Consider the following 18,535-nt stretch of genomic DNA (forward strand, 5'->3'; position numbering starts at 1 on the left):
TGTCATGGTAGTTGTTTTATTTATTATTTAGATGCATTCTGGAAAAGCCTGCTGAAGACACCTAAGAACCAGTATTTGTTGGAGACTGTGCTCCCTAGGAAGCCTTTCTCAGCTCCTGTCACTGCTTCTCAGCCTTTCTATTCCTCAGTGGGGACAAGAGCTGTGGTCCATGACTCTACTGAGGCACCTTTTTATTAAACACTTTCTTACTTTCTGGTGGAATGAGGTGTTTCAGACTTATCTTGAACTTTCTCTATCCCAGGCCTGGAGTCCACCATTTTCCCTAGGAATCCTGGTTTCTTTTAGTGGAGAAGAGTATTTAGATACCAAGATCTACATGTTAAGTGTGTTCATTACTATACATGTATCGTTGCTGCTAGTGCCTTTTGGCAAAGAGAGCTAGGGAATCTTGACCTGTATATCTTTCTACATCTACATCTATACACTATTTCTATATCTAAATAAAAAACTATGAGTTCCAATTCCAATTCAATATCATGGGGCACCTTTTTGTTCTCCCATTTCCATAGTTTTATTCCTTTTTCACTCTTCCAAACAGTGAGAAACCAGAATCCTATTAGCCTTTATATTTTTACTAATTTTTCCAAGTCTAGAACACACATAACTTAGCTTCAGAATTATTAACCTATACCTCTGAGAAAAGCAAACCTACTTGTAAGAACCTTGTTCACAGTTTTATTTGTTTTTAGGTAAAATTTATGTACAGTAAGCTGCATAAAACCTAAGTCTACCAATTGATGAGTTTTGACAAATGCAAACATACATGCAATCTGCATCCTAACAAAATAAAGAAGATTTTTATCACTTTCCATCATTTTCTGTCAAGTCCCCTCAGGCCCTTGTCCAGTCAAGTCTCACACCCAACACATACAGGCAAGTGACATTCTGATTTTTTCCCACCATCTATTAGTTTTGTCTGATATGAAATTTAGTATGTTTAAATGGAATCAAGGCCAGGTATGGTGACTCACGCCTGTAATCCTAGCACTTTGGAAGGCCAAGGCAGGAGGATCCCTTGAGCCCAGGAGTTCGAGATCAGCCTGGGCAACATCGGGAGACCCTGTCTGTATAATAAAATAGTAATAAATACATAAATGGAATCATACAGTATGTATTCTTTTCTGTTCAACTTCTTTCAGCCTAATGTCTGTGAGATTCATTCATGTTGTCATATGCATCACTATGAAAGAATAAATTATTGGATTTATTTATAATTTTATTTTTCTTATAATTTAAAATTCTTTTACCTTTATTAATTTCTCATTTCTATTGTCTTAGGAATTGATATTTTTTAACTCCTTGAATTTAGCTTATTTTATTTACTTTCAATTCTACCCTCTTCCTCCTTACTATGCCAAAAGCATATTTAGAATTATTGATATAAATTTTGTCCCTGGGTCTCCCTAAGGTTATATCTTCTCTTTTCTTTCCTTTCCTTTTCTTTTCTTTCTTTTCTTTTCTTTCCTTTCCTTACCTGTCTTTTCCTATCTTTTCCTCTTTTCTTTTCCTTTATTTTCTTTTCTTCTTTATTTTCTTTTTCAGACAGGAACTCACTCTGTCACCCAGGCTGGAGTACAGTGGTGTGATGATAGCTCACTGCAGCCTCGACCACCCCGGGCTCAGGTGATCCTCACACCTCCGTCTCCTGAGTAGCTGGGACAGGCACTTGCCACCACACCTGGCTAGTTTTTTTGTAATTTTTGTAGAGACAGGGTTGCACCATGTTGCCTGGGCTGGTCTTGAAATCCTGGGCTCAAGTGATCCACCTGCCCTGGCCTCCCAAAGTGCTGGGATTATAGACATGAACCACCATGCCCGGCACATCCCGTATTTTAAAAGGAAAAGTATCTTATCTTAGATGTTTTTATTGATACTATTTGCAAAATACTTTATTTGTGAAAAAAACTGTAATAGCAGTTGTTCCCTAATGTATTTTGTCTATTCCTATAAGGATTTTAAATGACTGCCTACTACCTCCACACACCTCACAATCTAACACTTTCACATCCTTCAAAATTCTAGGTTGGGGGCTGAGTGAAATTCTTTGGGGATTCTTCTACTTCAGCCCAAAAGCATCACATCCTTTTCTTGGGAGGAGCAATTAAAATTCAGCTCAATATTTACCCTCAATATAACCCCATCTTCATTATGTCTAATAGAATTTGTTTTATTTCTGTGACATGAATGTATCATTCTTCCCTAGTTTTCAGTGGTGTGACAGATCACTTCAATTTTTATGATCCTTTTGTATAAAAGAAAAACAGAGATGCCAAGACACTGGTGTGAGTGATGAGCTGAATTCACTGTTGGACAGGGCAGGGAAAACTGGATCCAATACAAAGGAATGAAGCTGTAAATAATAGGGCCTCTTGAATATCAAAGAATAACTCTAAGACAGTTAGTTTAAAATATTGGAGATTCGCTTATATATAGGTGTATAGGAAGGAGAGCAGCTTCTGTGAAAACTGCCTCCTCAACCAAGAGCAAAGATAGGGTTTATAAATGCAAATCTATAAAATTCACCAAAAAGAGTGACGAGTCAGCTGAAATAAGGACTTGGCTTCTTACTTTAGATTAGGTGATTGTGCTGGAGCTTAGCATACACCAATTTCTGTCACCTAGGTTGAAAATCAAATCAATTAAGTTCAGTCAGTATAATACAGTTGAGTCAAAATGTATCAGCCTGTTTTCCTGCTGATTCTGGTCAGTTATGCAAGAAAAAAATGCTATAGTTTTTTCCTAAATCCCATCTGCTCTTCTATCTTTCAACCACATGCACACTTCAAGGTCAGGATCATGCAGCAAACAAGTTTGTGTTTGCACACTCAAAACTCAGCAACAACTTCCTTCATTGCTTTGTCCATATTAGAAAGGATTTAGGAAGAATAAGTTAGATTGTTGGGCTCAAGGACCTATGTCACTATGTCATTTTGAATATTTTAGACAAAATTCAAGGAAGGAAAAAACAGCAGATGCTGCCATTATCCTTACTTTATTAGAAATTATTCATCATATTTAAACGATTTAGATCTGTCTTCAAAAACATTTATTTGAATTAAAATTACCAATCACAGTACCTGCTATCATAAAATCACAGATTCTAAGTTAACCTCTTACCTAATCCAATGTTACTTTCCACCAGATACTTGAATCCCTTGAACCAAATCACTTATTAGTGATCTTCAAAAGTGGTAAAAATCCAGCAAAAGAAATAGTATAGATATAGCTTATTCTACTTTTGTATGCTTCTGATTTCACCACGGATCCACTGATTATCTGTTTTGTTTGGTTTGCTATGATTTTTCCCACCCTGAAAAAAATTTAATAAATGCCTTAATGAGAGAATTAACTTTTTTAGCCCAAGCTGCCTCTTTTGAACTTCTCTTTTTCCTTGTTAAGCACATTAAAAGGGAGAAGTTAATTATTGTATCTAGATATTGCCAACCAACAAAATCGTATACCTAGAAAACTAAAAGGTCTCCTGCTTTGATCAACCAAATAATATTAGCCCAGCAATTGTTCAAATGAGTCTATTATAAGAATTTTTTAAAAAGCAAAACAGATAATGTTAAAATCAAACTCAAAATTGTAGCTTAACGGGGATTTGAATTGCATAACTTCTTTACATTGAAAAGAATTCCTTTACTTAATAAAAAGTATGTTTTGCGATAAGCATTGGAGACATCAGTATGAACTGATATTTAGCTTCATATAAATACAGATGGTTACATATGGAAATATTTATAGATTTGTATATATGCAGTGGTTATTAAGCACATATATATTTCCTTGCTCTGTCAGCTGAGAGAGCTAGTAACAATAACACCCCAGTAGCAAAAAGGACACCTAGTATCCAGATCTTGGTTTCTAATAGCATTCTGCAGTAAAAGTAATCAAGGCTCCTAAAAGAAATGACTGGTTCTAGGGCTAGGACAAAAAATAGACAAGATGATCCTTCAATATTTTGTAGTGTCAGAATGTATGGAAATTCTAAACAAACAAGCAGAATGGATATCTCACATGATGGGGGCATGTCAAAGGGACACATAGCAAGCTGAAAGATCTCCCTGTGGTCAAAATTCCAATAATTTGAGCAATAGAATTTTAAAATAATACTGGCTTATAACACAAAGTTTAAAATAAATATCCATGAGTCCATACCAATAGGACTGAATGATTAAATAAGTAAATGGAGCAGAAAAGACAAATTTTCCCATGGTGAAGTTTTTAAAATAATTCGTGTAGATACTCTGCCATCAAGAAGGGAGAGTAAAACTCACCACTCCTTTAATGTGGACTGTGTGTAGTAACTTGCTTCAAAAAAATACATTATGGAAAAGGAGAGGAAAAAAAAACCAGTGACTTTACAGTGGATAAATCTGTCAAACACTGCATCAGCCTGGTGATCAAGGTTAACATCAACAGTGATAAGTAATATTAACACTAAGTATCTTTGATATAAGGTGATGAAAATGGCACTTTACCTCTGTAGTCTTCCTTCCAAAAACTCGTAATCCCAGTCTAATAATGAGAAAAATATCACACAAATGCTAATAGAAGAGCATTCTACAGAATTCATGACCAGCATTTCTCAAAACCATCAAAGTCATTAAAAACAAGACTAAGAAACAGTCACAGCCAAGAGGAGTATAAGAAGATTGGACAATGAAATGTTTATGGTGTCCTAAATAAAATATAGTAACAGAAAAAAGATATTGGGTTAAAAATAATAAAATCAATCTACTAAATAATAGCATTCGTAGCAACCTGGATGGAAGTGGAGACTATTATTCTAAGTTAAATAACTCAGGAATGGAAAACCAAACATCGTATGTTCTCACTCATAATTGGGAACTAAGCTATGAGGACACAAAGACATAAGAATGATTCAATGGACTTTGGGGAAAGGGTGGGAAGGGGGTGAGGGATAAAAGACTACTCATTGGGTACAATGAATACTACTTGAATGAGCTTATTAAATATTCCAAAAGTAGGGAAACAGGACTTGACTGTATGTATGGTGAGCAGGCCCCAAAATATATTCCTATGCCATATTGAGAAATTCTGAAAAAAGTGAATAGCTGTATTATAAATAATATGTATAATATTTATAAATATTTTCAACCCATGATGTTGAAAAATCTCGGAAATCACCACTAAAGAACTTACTCATGTAACTGAATACCCATTCCCCAAAAACCTATTGAAATAAAAGAATTTTAAAAATTCAGAAAGAATATATATTCAAAGAAATAAAGTCAGGGATTTTCTCTGTTTCTGTAAAGGATGAGGATTACATTTCCATTTCTCAGAAAGACAGAGGGATTGGTGTGGTTAGGCTGTGTCCCCACCCAAATCTCATGTTGAATTGTAGCTCTCATAATTCCCACGTGTTGTGGGAGGGACCCAGTGGGAGGTAATTGTATCATGTGGCGGTTTTCCTCATCATATTCTCATGGCAGTGAATAAGTCTCACGAGATCTGATGGCTTTATAAGGAGTTTCCCCTTATGCTTTGCTTTCGTTCTTTCTTGCCTGCTGCCATGTAAGATGTGACTTTCACCTTTTGCTATGATTGTAAGGCCTCCCCAGCCACGTGGCGCTCTGAGTCCATTAAACCTCTTTTTCTTTATAAATTACTGAGTCTTGGGCATGTCTTTATCAGGAGTGTGAAAATAGACTACTGCCATTAAATTGATACCTGTAGAGTGGGGTCCTACTGTAAAGATACCCGAAAATGTGGAAGGGACTTTGGAACTGGGTAACAGGCAGAGGTTGGAACACTTTGGAGGGCTCAGAAGAAGAGAAGAAAATGTGAGAAAACTTGCAACTTCCTAGAGACTTGTTGAATAGTTTTGACCAAAATGCTGATAGTGATATGAACAATAAGGTCCAGGCTGAGGTGGTCTCAGATGGAGATAAGGAACTTGTTGGGAGCTGTAGTAAAGGTGACTCTTGCAATGTTTTAGCAAAGAGACTGGTGGCATTTTGCCCCTGCCCTAGAGATTTATGGAACTTGACTTGAGAGATTTGATTTGATTTAGGGTATCTGGCAGAAGACATTTCTAAGCAGCAAAGCATTCAAGAGGTGACTTGGGTGCTGTTAAAAAGATTCCATTTTAAAAGTGAAATAGAGCAAAAAAGTTTAGAAAATTTTCAGACTGATGATGTGAGAAAAAAGAAAAAACCATTTTCTGAGGAGAAATTTGAGCCTGCTGCATAAATTTGCATAACAGGGAACCAAATGTTAATCGCCAAGATAATGGGGAAAATGTCTCCAGGGCATGTCAGAGACCTTTGTGGCAGCCCCTCCCATTACAGACCTGGAAGACTAGGAGGAAAAAATGGCTTTGTGGGCTGGGCCCAGGACCTCTCTGCTGTGTGCAGCCTAGGGACTTGGTGCCCCACATCCCAGCCTCTCTAGCCATGGCTAAAAGGGGGCAAAGTACAGCTTGGCCCATGGCTTCAAAAGGTGCAAGCCCCAAGCCTTGGCAGCTTCCACATGGTGTTGAGCCTGCAGGTGCACAGAAGTCAAGAATAGAGGTTTGAGAAACTCCACCTAGGTTTCAGAGGATGTGTGGAAACAACTGGATATCTAGGCAGAAGTTTGCTTAAGGGGCGAGGCCCTCATGGAGAACCTCTGCTAGGGCAGTATGAAAGGGAAATGTGGGGTGGGAGCCCCCACACAGAGTCCCCACTGGGGCACTGCCCAGTGGAGCTGTGAGAAAAGGGCCACTGTCCTCTAGACCCCAGAATGGTTGATCCACTGACAGCTTGCACCATGCACCTGAAAAAGTTGCAGACACTCAACACCAGACACTCAACACTCATACTGGGAGGGAGTATGTACCCTGCAAAGCCACAGGGGTGGAACTGCCCAAGACCACGGGAACCTACCATCAGCATGACCTGGTTGTATGACATGGAGTCAAAGGAGATTGCTTTGGAGCTTTAAGATTTGACTGCCCCACTGGATTTTGGACTTGCATGGGGCCTTTAGCCCCTTCATTTTGGACAATTTTTCCTGTTTGGAAAATGTGTATTTATCCAATGACTGTACCCCCATTGTATCTAGGGAGTAAACAACTTGCTTTTGATTTTACAGGCTCATAGGTGGAAGGGACTTGCCTTGTCTCTGATGAGATTTTGAACTGTGGACTTTTGAGTTAATACTGAGATGAGTTAAGACTTTGGGGGACTGTTCAGAAGGCAGGATTGGTTTTGAAATGTGAGGACCTGATATTTGGGAGGGGCCAGGGGTGGAATTATATAGTTTGGCTGTGTCCCCACCCAAATCTCATCGTGAATTGTAGCTCCCATAATTCCCACATGTTGTGTGAGGGACTGAGTGAGGGATAATTGAATCATGTGGGCAGTTTCCCTCATACTGTTTTGTGGTAGTGAATAAGTCTTATGAGATCTGATGGTTTTATAAGGGGTTTCCCTTTTTGCTTGGCTTTGATTCTGTCTTGCTGCCACCATTTAATATGTGCCTTTCACCTCTTGCCATGATTGTGAGGCCTCCCCAGCCACACAGAAGTGTGAGTCCATTAAACCTCTTTTTCTTTATAAATTACCCTGTTTCAGGTATGTCTTTATCAGCAGTGTGAAAACAGACAAATACAGGGATGATTCTTGAGGATGGATATGGTTAGGAGTTCAACAATAATGAAGTTCAAGAATCCCATGTACTTTCCATAGCCAAATAAAACAGAGATATTTACACTTAAAAGAAAAAAAGGCCAAGCACGGTTGCTCACGCCTATAATCCCAGCACTTTGGAAGGCCAAGGTGGGCGGATCGCCTGAGGTCAGGAATTTGAGACTAACCTGGCCAACATGGCGAAACCCTGTCTCTACTAAAACTACAAAAATTAGCTGGGTGTAGTGGTGGGCACCTGTAATCCCAGCTACTAGGGAGGCTGAGGCTGGAGAATCTCTTGAACCCATGAGGCAGAGGTTGCAGTGAGCCAAGATCATGCCAATGTACTCTAGCCTGGGTGACAAGAGCAAAACTCCATCTCAGAAGAACAAAAAAAGAAGAAAAGAAAAGAAAAAATCTGAATTACATGTGGACATTAGCTAATAATAATGTATCAATATTAGTTCATTAATTGTGACAAATGTATCATACATTAGTAGGATGTCAATACAGGAAACCGGGTGGGTGGTATAGGGGAACTCTATACTATCGCCTTAATTTTTCTGTAAATCCAAAACTATATTTTAAAAAGTTAGGGTTTTTTAGAAGTACATGTTAAAGTATAAAATGTTTAGGTGATTTGGGTTCATATGTATAAATTATTAGAAGTCTAAAGTCAATTGTATTAAATTCTTTGTCTATTATTTTTATTGATTTATAATTATGCATATTTATGTGTTACATGTGATATTTTGATGCTTGCATATAACGTGTAACGATAAAATCAGTATATTTAGGACACCCATCATCTCAAACACATTTATCATTTCTTTTTGTTGTGAACATTTCAAATTTTTATTTCTAGCTTAACTTCTTATTTTTCTTTCCTTGTTTTGCAATGGTAACTGCATTCTTTTCATAAAATGAGTTAAAATTATTTACTTTCACTGCCCCAGACTAAAATGTCCACATAAGTTCATATGCTTAATATGCTATTCTGAAACCTCTTATTGCAATGTTTTTAATATAAATTCTTTTCAGAAACAATACCTTCTGGAGTTGCGTTTTCAACTTTACTGAGTGAAGGACATTAGTTCTTCCCTTTACAGGTTCAAATAAATCTTACATTCAAAATGCAGGTCTCATATATATTACTTTTACTCTGAAAAGGAAAATGTGCCTTGTGAGATAAACAAAATACAGTGCAATATGTGAACACAATTATGGATCTTGAGGGCTAAAAGTGACCCTGAAATGAAGAACTCCCAGTACAGAATTGAAAAAATTATTCCAACAATGAGTAAATGATGGCAACCAGGGCAAAAAGAAAGTAAATCAAACACAGCAAAATAAAACACTCAAAGCACATCATATGGTAAAAATATTTTTATATGTTAGAAATAATATTTGTAATAAAGTTCTTCACTTTTTTCAGAATTTCTCCATATAGCATAGGAATATATTTGGAGGCCTGCTAGTCATATTTATATTAACATACAGTCAATTCCTGTTTCCCTGCTTTTGGAATATTTAATAAGATCAAAAGCCCTTTCCTGACATAAAAATTCTACACAACCCTGGAAAAACTCTGGGAAGAAAGTTGTTTCCTTTAGGCAGGAATGCATATTCTGTGATTTAAAGGGGGGAAATTTAGCTCAAACTGGAGGGCTTTCACTAGAGCATGATAATGTTAGAACTACAGAAAGCAGACTTTAGGTATTTGGGAAAGAAAGTAGTTGTGCTAAAAAAATTATGCCAAATTTGAAATAGGACAAAGGAATCACCGTATTGCCTTTCAGTGTCAGAACACTGTGTAATAGGACCACCCAAGGATTATCTAATTCTCAAGGGGATGTACCTTTGTTCGATTTACTAGTTACCTTTGATAAAGGCCCAGGTTCTATGAATTACATGTCAATGGTATAGATTGTTTTGTCCAGTAGAGGTGCAAATTATTTCTCTCAGAAAAGACAACCCAAAAGGTTATAGTTTTATTGCCCTGTAGGACATTAATCAGTTTTATCTCTTACCGAGTAAACTTTTTTCAGCAAGTCTTCTATTTCTTGGCTGACTATCAATCAACTTCTCACTCTCCTTTTCTATTTCTCTCTCTTAATATCTCTCTGTCTCACCCTTTCTATATATAGAGAGATCTCTCTATACACGTATAAATATATATACTTTTCTGTCTAGCTAGAGGATTGTAAATGCATCAGTCATTGCTGTGTCTAGCTAAAGGATTGTAAATGCACCAATCAGCACTCCGTAAAAACGCACAAATCAGCACTCTGTGTCTAGCTAAAGGATTGTAAATGCACTAATCAGCACTCCGTAAAAATGCACAGATCAGCACTCTGTGTCTAGCTAAAGGATTGTAAATGCACCAATCAGCACTCTGTAAAAACACACCAATCAGCACTCTGTGTCTAGCTAAAGGATTGTAAATGCACCAATCAGCACTCTGTAAAATGGACCAATCAGCACTCTGTAAAATGGGCCAATCAGCACTCTATAAAATGGACCAATCAGCAGGACGTGGGCAGGGACAAATAAGGAAATAAAGGTGGCCAGCAGCGGCAACCCGCTCGGGTCCCCTTCCATGCTGTGAAAGCTTTGTTCTTTCACTCTTTTCAATAAATTTTGCTGCTCCTCACTCTTAGGGTCCACACCACCTTTAAGAGCTGTAACACTCACCATGGAGGTCTGCGGCTTCAGTCTTGAAGTCAGCGAGACCAAGAACCCACTGGAAGGAACCAACTCCAGACACATCTTGACTTTACATTATTTCATATCAGGGTTTATTAAAACCTTGTTTTGTGTTTCAGGGTGGAAAGCAGTATTTTCAAGGTTTCACTTCCACAGGAACAGGTTATATGTATATACAGTAAATTCTTCATTATTCATGCCAATAAAGAACATTCACATGAAAAATGAAAAAACCGTAACTAGCCTACCACCTGAGATAGAGATAGGTTCCATCTGCAAAGAAGTAAATGTGTGTTTCCACATCCGTTCATATTTAAGTCTCATGACAAACACCATATAGTCAACTCCTGATTGTTTCCCACATATTTTCTGTCTAAAATAGTGGTGCCACCCAGATTGAGGTTTTCCAACACACTCATATTTAGAAAACTTGGAAGTTTATCTTTCTTTTACTGAACTGCTTATCTTTATTACTGAGGCGAATTATACATCTGACCAAAAGGCTAATACACGAAGTAAGCCTTTGGGTTTTTCAATCAATTTAAAAGACATTAAAATAGCACCATTTGCACAGTCTTCAGATATAAATGTGAGAAATACGAATATTTTAAATAAGTCAGGTGGAAAGGACAACCATACTGGATTAGGGCCTAAGAACCCCAGGTTCCAGTGGAGTTCATGCTACAGGTTTTACATGAGGAAATTAGCAAATCACCTGGGACTGTTTTTCTCAAATGAAAATTAGAGGACTGAGCTGACATCTAGAGAATATCTCAGTTCTCTTCCATTCCATAATTCATTGGCTCCTCTAAGTTTTTTCAAACATGAAAATAAATTTCAAATAAAATTCTTGCATTTATGAAAACATAAACATCTAAAATTTAAATAGGTATTTCTTCTAGGGTTAAGAAAAGAAAATAGTTGTAGTTGTACCTGGTTTTTACACTTACTCAAAAGAGCTAACATAGCCAAGGAAAGCTTCCATGTAACTGTACCAGTTGAGACAAGATTGTAAGTATCTCTTAATCTTGGACAATCTGCAGTGTTTGTGATGTGTTGACTAAAAATGTAACTATGTCAGTGCTATGGATTATATAATAACTTTTAAAAATAAACATTTCATAGATTGTCCCACATTTATCTGAGAACACATAAATAAAAACTAACATGAATCATCAGGACATCAGGACATTCTCTTTTGAGTATGGCTGATAAAATCAATAGTAAAATCTACATAGCTCAAACGTCCAGCTTTGAAAACTAAAAACCTTATTCTTCAGTGTGAATTCTATCAGCTTTTGTTTTTCCAACATTACAATTTTTCTTTTCCCTACCAAAAAAAAATTGTCCCCACTTAAGTATTATCTTCAAGATCATTAATGTCCAAGTAAATGTGGTCTGACCAAATAATTTGGCACCATAGCTAGGACCAAAAAAAAAAAAAAAGTAAATAACTTTCAGAAGAATTAAAACACAGCTCTTTCTATTGGTGTAGGCATTTCAGTTCTGTTCTGCGACCTCCTCCCATTTAGCTAGAGATAGTTTCCATGGGAACTGAAGACTGTGTTCTACTGAGTCTTGAAACACACAAATATAAATTTTTGCTTCTTACAAGTGGGCAGCGATTTATCTCTCTAATGCTTAATGGAAGACATTTGAATCTATTTTGGTTTGAGACAAAAACTGAAAGAAAGTTATGTCAATTATACTAATATACAATTTCAAAGCCTGAAATTAGAAATTAGTAAAATTGAGGTGAGTACAGCATAGTAATATATGTCCCAGCTGTTCTAGCTTTTCCAGGGTATTTTTTTTCCAAAGGGAGGAATATATTGCTGTATTAAATACTTGTGCTACCATGAAAAAACTTTAAAATTAATTTTCTTAATCCAAGCAGATTTTCCATTGTCATTGTTGCTTTTAAATAATCTCTTATGGAATATAGAGTGCAGAGTTGTAACAATATAAAATATCAAAATAGATGTTTAATTTTTATGGGGCTTTTTTGGTAGAGAAAAATTTGGGATAGATTAATGGGAATGTTTAAGTCAGCACATGAAGAAATAAAAGAATTTCAAACTATTGAGTTGAAAAACAGGTACAGCCTTTCAAAAGTCTAAAAACCCAAAACCCATGACCTTATAAAAAGAAAATTGGTATTACTCAAGAACAAATCCTGACTTTACTTGAAAATATCTCTGCATAAATATGTACAGCAAAGATAATAAAAACAGCTAAATCTACCCCAAGCTGAAAACAAAATCAACAAAAAGACAGTCAACTCCCTGGAGGAATCTGTGTTTCTCTTGGTTGTGACACTGGTTACCAAGGTAGTGGTTATATTTGAGAGGCCCCTGGCTACAAATCCATGATCTTGAAGACCTTCGGTAGAATCTGAAGCAAACAGATCATTATAATAGACTAACTTGTGCTTTCCAGTGTTCAAACACCTAGACCTTAACAAACCAAACTTCTCTTATTAAAAAGGCAAAGCAAGAATCAAGGTAATTATTGAAAATTTGGGGTTAAAACTCTTTTTCCTTTTTTTAGAAAATTTTATTATTATTATACTTTAAGTTTTAGGGTACATGTGCACAACGTGCAGGTTTGTTACATATGTATACATGTGCCATGCTGGTGTGCTGCACCCATTAACTCGTCATTTAGCATTACGTATATCTCCTAATGGTATCCCTCCCCCCTCCACCCACCCCACAACAGTCCCCGGTGTGTGATGTTCCCCTTCCTGTGTCCATGTGTTCTCATTGTTCAATTCCCACCTATGAGTGAGAACATGCGGTGTTTGGTTTTTTGTCCTTGCAATAGTTTGCTGAGAATGATGGTTTCCAGTTTCATCCATGTCCCTACAAAGGACATGAACTCATCATATTTTATGGCTGCATAGTATTCCATGGTGTATATGTGCCACATTTTCTTAATCCAGACTATCATTGTTGGACATTTAGGTTGGTTGCAAGTCTTTGCTATTGTGAATAGTGCCGCTATAAACATATGTGTGCATGTGTCTTTATAGCAGCATGATTTATAATCCTTTGGGTATATACCCAGTAGACTGTAAACTGGTTCAACCATTGTGGAAATCAGTGTGGCGGCGATCCCTCAGGGATCTAGAACTAAAACTCTTTTTATTTTAACTTTCCAGAGCAAAAAGTTAGAACATGTCCAACCAGTATTTTTTTAGATCCCATATATTTTAGAATCCTATAACAGGTATTGTAATAGGCAGGATAGAAACTAGCCCACATAATGTCTTCGTACAATTTAGAGGACACACTGGTGTTGAGGTTTACAGCAAATAAAGCACAACTGGAATTTAAGCTCCCTCTCACTTCTTCATTCAGACACACTTGTGCAGTATATAAACTGCACAACTGTGCAGGTGGCTCTGGCACAGGATCTTGAATATGCAGCGATGAATAGAACAGGCCAATCAACACAAGCAGAAAACAATAATTAGGATCTCATTATTAAAGGACTGTTAGTATTTAAGCAATAAATACTAATTGGATCAACATTCACCGAGAACCTACTATGTTCTTACTGTATAAGAAATACAAAGATAGGATCTGAGAACTACAAAAGAACTCTTGGCACATAATGACTCCACACAAACCCCTGCACTAAGAGACCTGATCAACCCTAACATGGCTTCTGGCTGCCTAAGGCTACATCCCTGGAAAGACTCAACCCCTCCTTGAGTTCCTGTCTGAAAAAGCTCAAGCCTGTCGAAAGAATTTATTGTTTGTTCTAGCCAACATTTGACAATAGGTCCCTGACTCCCCTTTCTTAGAGAATTTACTAAAAAGAGCTTATAATTGTAAATCCTTCCTCTGTAACTTTGAGATATATATGTATGTATCTCCTATGCCCCAGGGTATCTTTCTCAAGGACCTAAAAGCCATTCCTCTAAAATATAATAAGCAGGAAAGATAGAACCTCTGTATCTCAGTCTCTGTGGGAAGATAGAATTCCAACTTCAATAATTGCCAACTAGCATACACAGCTGGCCTAATCACATTTACACTGACCAACCTTCTTATTTACTTCTGGTAATTTTTTACTTCCCTGACACTACTTGAGCCCTGCTCACTTTTCCTTCCTACTCCCTTATTCTCCTTTTAAAATGCCCCATCCATCACCTCTGCACAAATTGGAATGGAGCTTAGGTTGTTCCCTTACTGTCAGTAGTTACTGAATAAAATCTGTTTTTAGCACTTGAACTAATGTCCAGTTTGTTTATCTTTGAGAGATCTAAAGAAAATATTCTAGTATGGAAAACAACCATGTTCAGAAATGACTATAAAATGCAAAATGAAAATTTGATTAATTAAATTGAAAGTACAAAATAAGGCCTGCACATTGCTACAATAACAATATAATATCTTAGAAGAAGGGAGAGATCCATTGTGCAGAGGTGAAAGGAAATATAGAAGTGGGACTTTAATTAGAAATATAGAAGTGGGACTTTAATTGTTTAACTTCGAACAAGAAAAATAGAATTGAATGTATATTATCATATGTTCATATTACTCCAAAAGACATAAGCATGGTCATAACCATACCAATAAATTCTAATAGCCACAAGGGGAGAGATCTTGTCTGATTTTTTTCATATCTGCATTATCAATGTGTAAAATACAATGGTCTCAATAAAAATTTATTGAATTAACTAATGAGATATCACTTATAAAAGGAAAGAAAGATATGTGATCTGAAAGACAGTTTATGCAAACTTAATTGGTCGCTTTCCCATTTTCTGTTGAAAGTTTATATACCAAGAAAATTTCAATCCTAACATGAATCTACAGAGGCTTTCCACATGTATATTTGAGGCTCCAAGTTTCATAAAGAATGATACAAGGAGAACAAAGTAAAGGAGAGCATATAACTTAAATTTATTTAACCCTTAAATAATATTTATTATAAACATTAATTTTATAGAGATTGGAAAAAAATTACAGAATAAAATGAGACTAGAGACAAGAGTGAGAAGATGCTAAATATAAAACTTAGACAACAGACTTTCCACATACACAAAATTATTGTTGCAGTGTTTTTTAAAGTAACAGAAAATTGTAAAGACAAAATTACAGGGCAAGTGCGCATGCACTGCCTCCATCAACCCAAGTCAGGAACATGGCCGTGTGGTCGCTGTGGGTGGGCAGGCACCAGGTGCAGCACCTACTGGCCTCGAGTGCCTTGTAGGAGAGCAAGGGATGGCCGCTTCCATTCTGCACGGCCACCCTGATAACTGCTGGTGTGGACTGCTGTTCTGAGGACGCTCCTGATGAGCTTGGGCCCTCTCTTGCCCAACAAGCCTTAAGGGTAAAGCTGTTAAACTGGAGAAGGAAGTCCAGGATTTAACCATGAGATAGCACAGAGCTGTAGCTGATTGTGAAAACATAAGGAGGCAAACCGAGAGATGTGTGGAAGATGCCAAGATAGGTGGCTGACATTTTGGAGACGACTACACAGTAAATTTCTGAAGAATCAGAGCCTGGGAACCAGAAGCTCACTCTGGAGAAGGTCTTCCGAGGGTTGTCACTTTTAGAAGCAAAGCTGAAAAATGTGTTTGCCAAGCATGGCCTGGAGAAGCTATCACCCATTGGTGACAAATATGACCCCCAAGAGCATGAACTCATCTGTCATGTGACAGCTGCTGTTGGGGTGCAGCCTAGCACCGTGACATTAGTAAGACCAGATGGCTACAAACTTCATGGCTGCACCATTAGACTTGCCCGGGTGGAAGTTGCTGTGGAGTCTCAGAGAAGACTGTGAAGAGGCCATCAGGAACTGGATGTTCTCCCAGAGTCCAGTCACCTATGCTTCTTTTATTTATTAAACTAGGTTTGTATTGTACATGAGGTACTTCATGTGATATGTTTTGGATTTAGTCATATTGGCTTTATTTCTAAGATATTCTATTGATTTAATGTGACCTGTTTGGTCTCATCAGAAGTCTTACCATTCGGCATTTGAACAGTGTGACAAGTGTCCCAATGGCCTTTATCAAAACCTGCTTAGGAAAATTAGTACTCTGATGAATTTGAATCCAAAATCCTTTTAACTATATGTTTTCAGCTACATGTTCCTTCCTAGTGGTCCCTATAACAGAGAGTGTATAATATCTTGTATTTTGTGGAAAAAGGAGATGGCACGGATTGGTTCAACATTTGGATACTTAGAGGATAAAGCTTCATGGTTGTAGATACAGACACAAAGAACCCTTCAAAAAAAATCAATGAATCCAGGAGCTGGTTTTTTTTAAAGGATTAACAAAATAGATAGACTACTTGCCAGACTAATAAAGAAAAAAAGACAGAAGAATCAAATAGACATAACAAAAAATGATAAAAGGAATATCACCACTGATCCCACAGAAATACAAACGACCATTAGAGAATACTATAAACACCTCTATGCAAATAAACTAGAAAATCCAGAAGAAATGGATAAATTCCTGGACACATACACCCTCCCAAGAATAAACCAGGAAGAAGTCAAATCCCTAAATAGACCAATAACAAGTTCTGAAATTGAGGCAGTACTTAATAGCCTACCAACCAAAAAAAAGCCCAGGAACAGACAGATTCACAGCCGAATTCTACCAGAGGTACAAAGAGGAACTGGTACCATTCCTTCTGAAACTATTCCAAACAATAGAAAAAGAGGGACTCCTCCCTAACTAATTTTGTGAGGCCAGCATCATCCTGATACCAAAACCTGGCAGAGACATAACAAAAAAGAAAATTTCAGGCCAATATCCCTGATGAACTTCGATGTGAAAATCCTCAATAAAATACTCGCAAAATGAATCCAGTAGCACATCAGAAAGCTTATCCACCACGAGAAAGTTGGCTTCATCCCTGGGATGCAAGGGTGGTTCAACATATGCAAATCAATAAATGTAATCCATCACATAAACAGAACCAATGACAAAAACCACATGATTATCTCAATAGATGCAGAAAAGGCCTTCAATAAAATTTGACACCCCTTTATGCTAAAAACTCTCAATAAACTAGGTATTGATGGAACATATCTCAAAATAATAAGAGCTATTTATGACAAGCTCACAGCCAATATCATACTGAATGGGCAAAAACTGGAAGCATTCCCTTTGAAAACTGGCACAATGCAAGGATGCCCTGTCTTACCACTCCTATTCAACATAGTATTGGAAGTTCTGGCCCGGGCAATCAGGCAAGAGAAAGAAATAAAGGGTATTCAAATAGGAAGAGAGGAAGTCAAACTGTCTCTGTTTGCAGATGACATGATTGTATATTTAGAAAACCCCATCATCTCAGCCCAAAATCTCCTTAAGCTGATAAGCAACTTCAGCAAAGTCTCAGGATACAAAATCAATGTGCAAAAATCACAAGAATTCCTATACACCAACAATAGACAGAGAGCCAAATTATGAGTGAACTCCCATTCACAACTGCTACAAAGAGAATAAAATACCTAGTAATCCAACTTACAAGGGATGTGAAGAACCTCTTCAAGGAGAACTACAAACCACTGCTCAAGGAAATGAGAGAGAACACAAACAAATGGAAAAACATTCCATCCTCATGAATATGAAGAACCAATATCATGAAAATGGCCATACTGCCCAAAGTAATTTATAGATTCAATGCTATCCCCATCAAGTTACCACTGACTTTCTTCACAGAATTAGAAAAAACTACTTTAAATTTCATATGGAACCAAAAAAGAGGCCCTATAACCAAGACAATCCTAAGCAAAAAGAACAAAACTGGAGGAATCATGCTACCTGACTTCAAACTATACTGCAAGGCTGCAGTAATCAAAACAGCATGGTACTGGTACCAAAACAGATATATAGACCAATGGAACAGAACAGAGGCCTCAGCAATAACACCACATATCTACAACCATCCTTTGACAAACCTGACAAAAACAAGCAATGGGGAAAGGATTCCCTATTTAATAAATGGTGTTAGGAAAACTGGCTTGCCATATGCAGAAAAATGTAACTGGACCCCTTCCTTACACCTTATACACAAATTAACTCAAGATGAATTAAAAACTTAAATTTAAGACCTAAAACCATAAAAATCCTAGAACAAAACCTAGGCAATACCATTCAGGGCATAGGCATGGGCAAAGACTTTATGACTAAC

General features: G+C 37.1%; 1 pseudogene; it reads left to right on the forward strand.

Annotated features, from left to right (window-relative positions):
- On the forward strand, positions 15,483 to 16,363 carry GRPEL2P3 (GRPEL2 pseudogene 3; annotated as a pseudogene).
- The last annotated feature ends 2,172 nt before the right edge of the window (positions 16,364 to 18,535 follow it).

This window comes from Homo sapiens, chromosome 7 (assembly GCF_000001405.40).
Source record: "Homo sapiens chromosome 7, GRCh38.p14 Primary Assembly".
Lineage (NCBI taxonomy): Eukaryota > Metazoa > Chordata > Mammalia > Primates > Hominidae > Homo > Homo sapiens.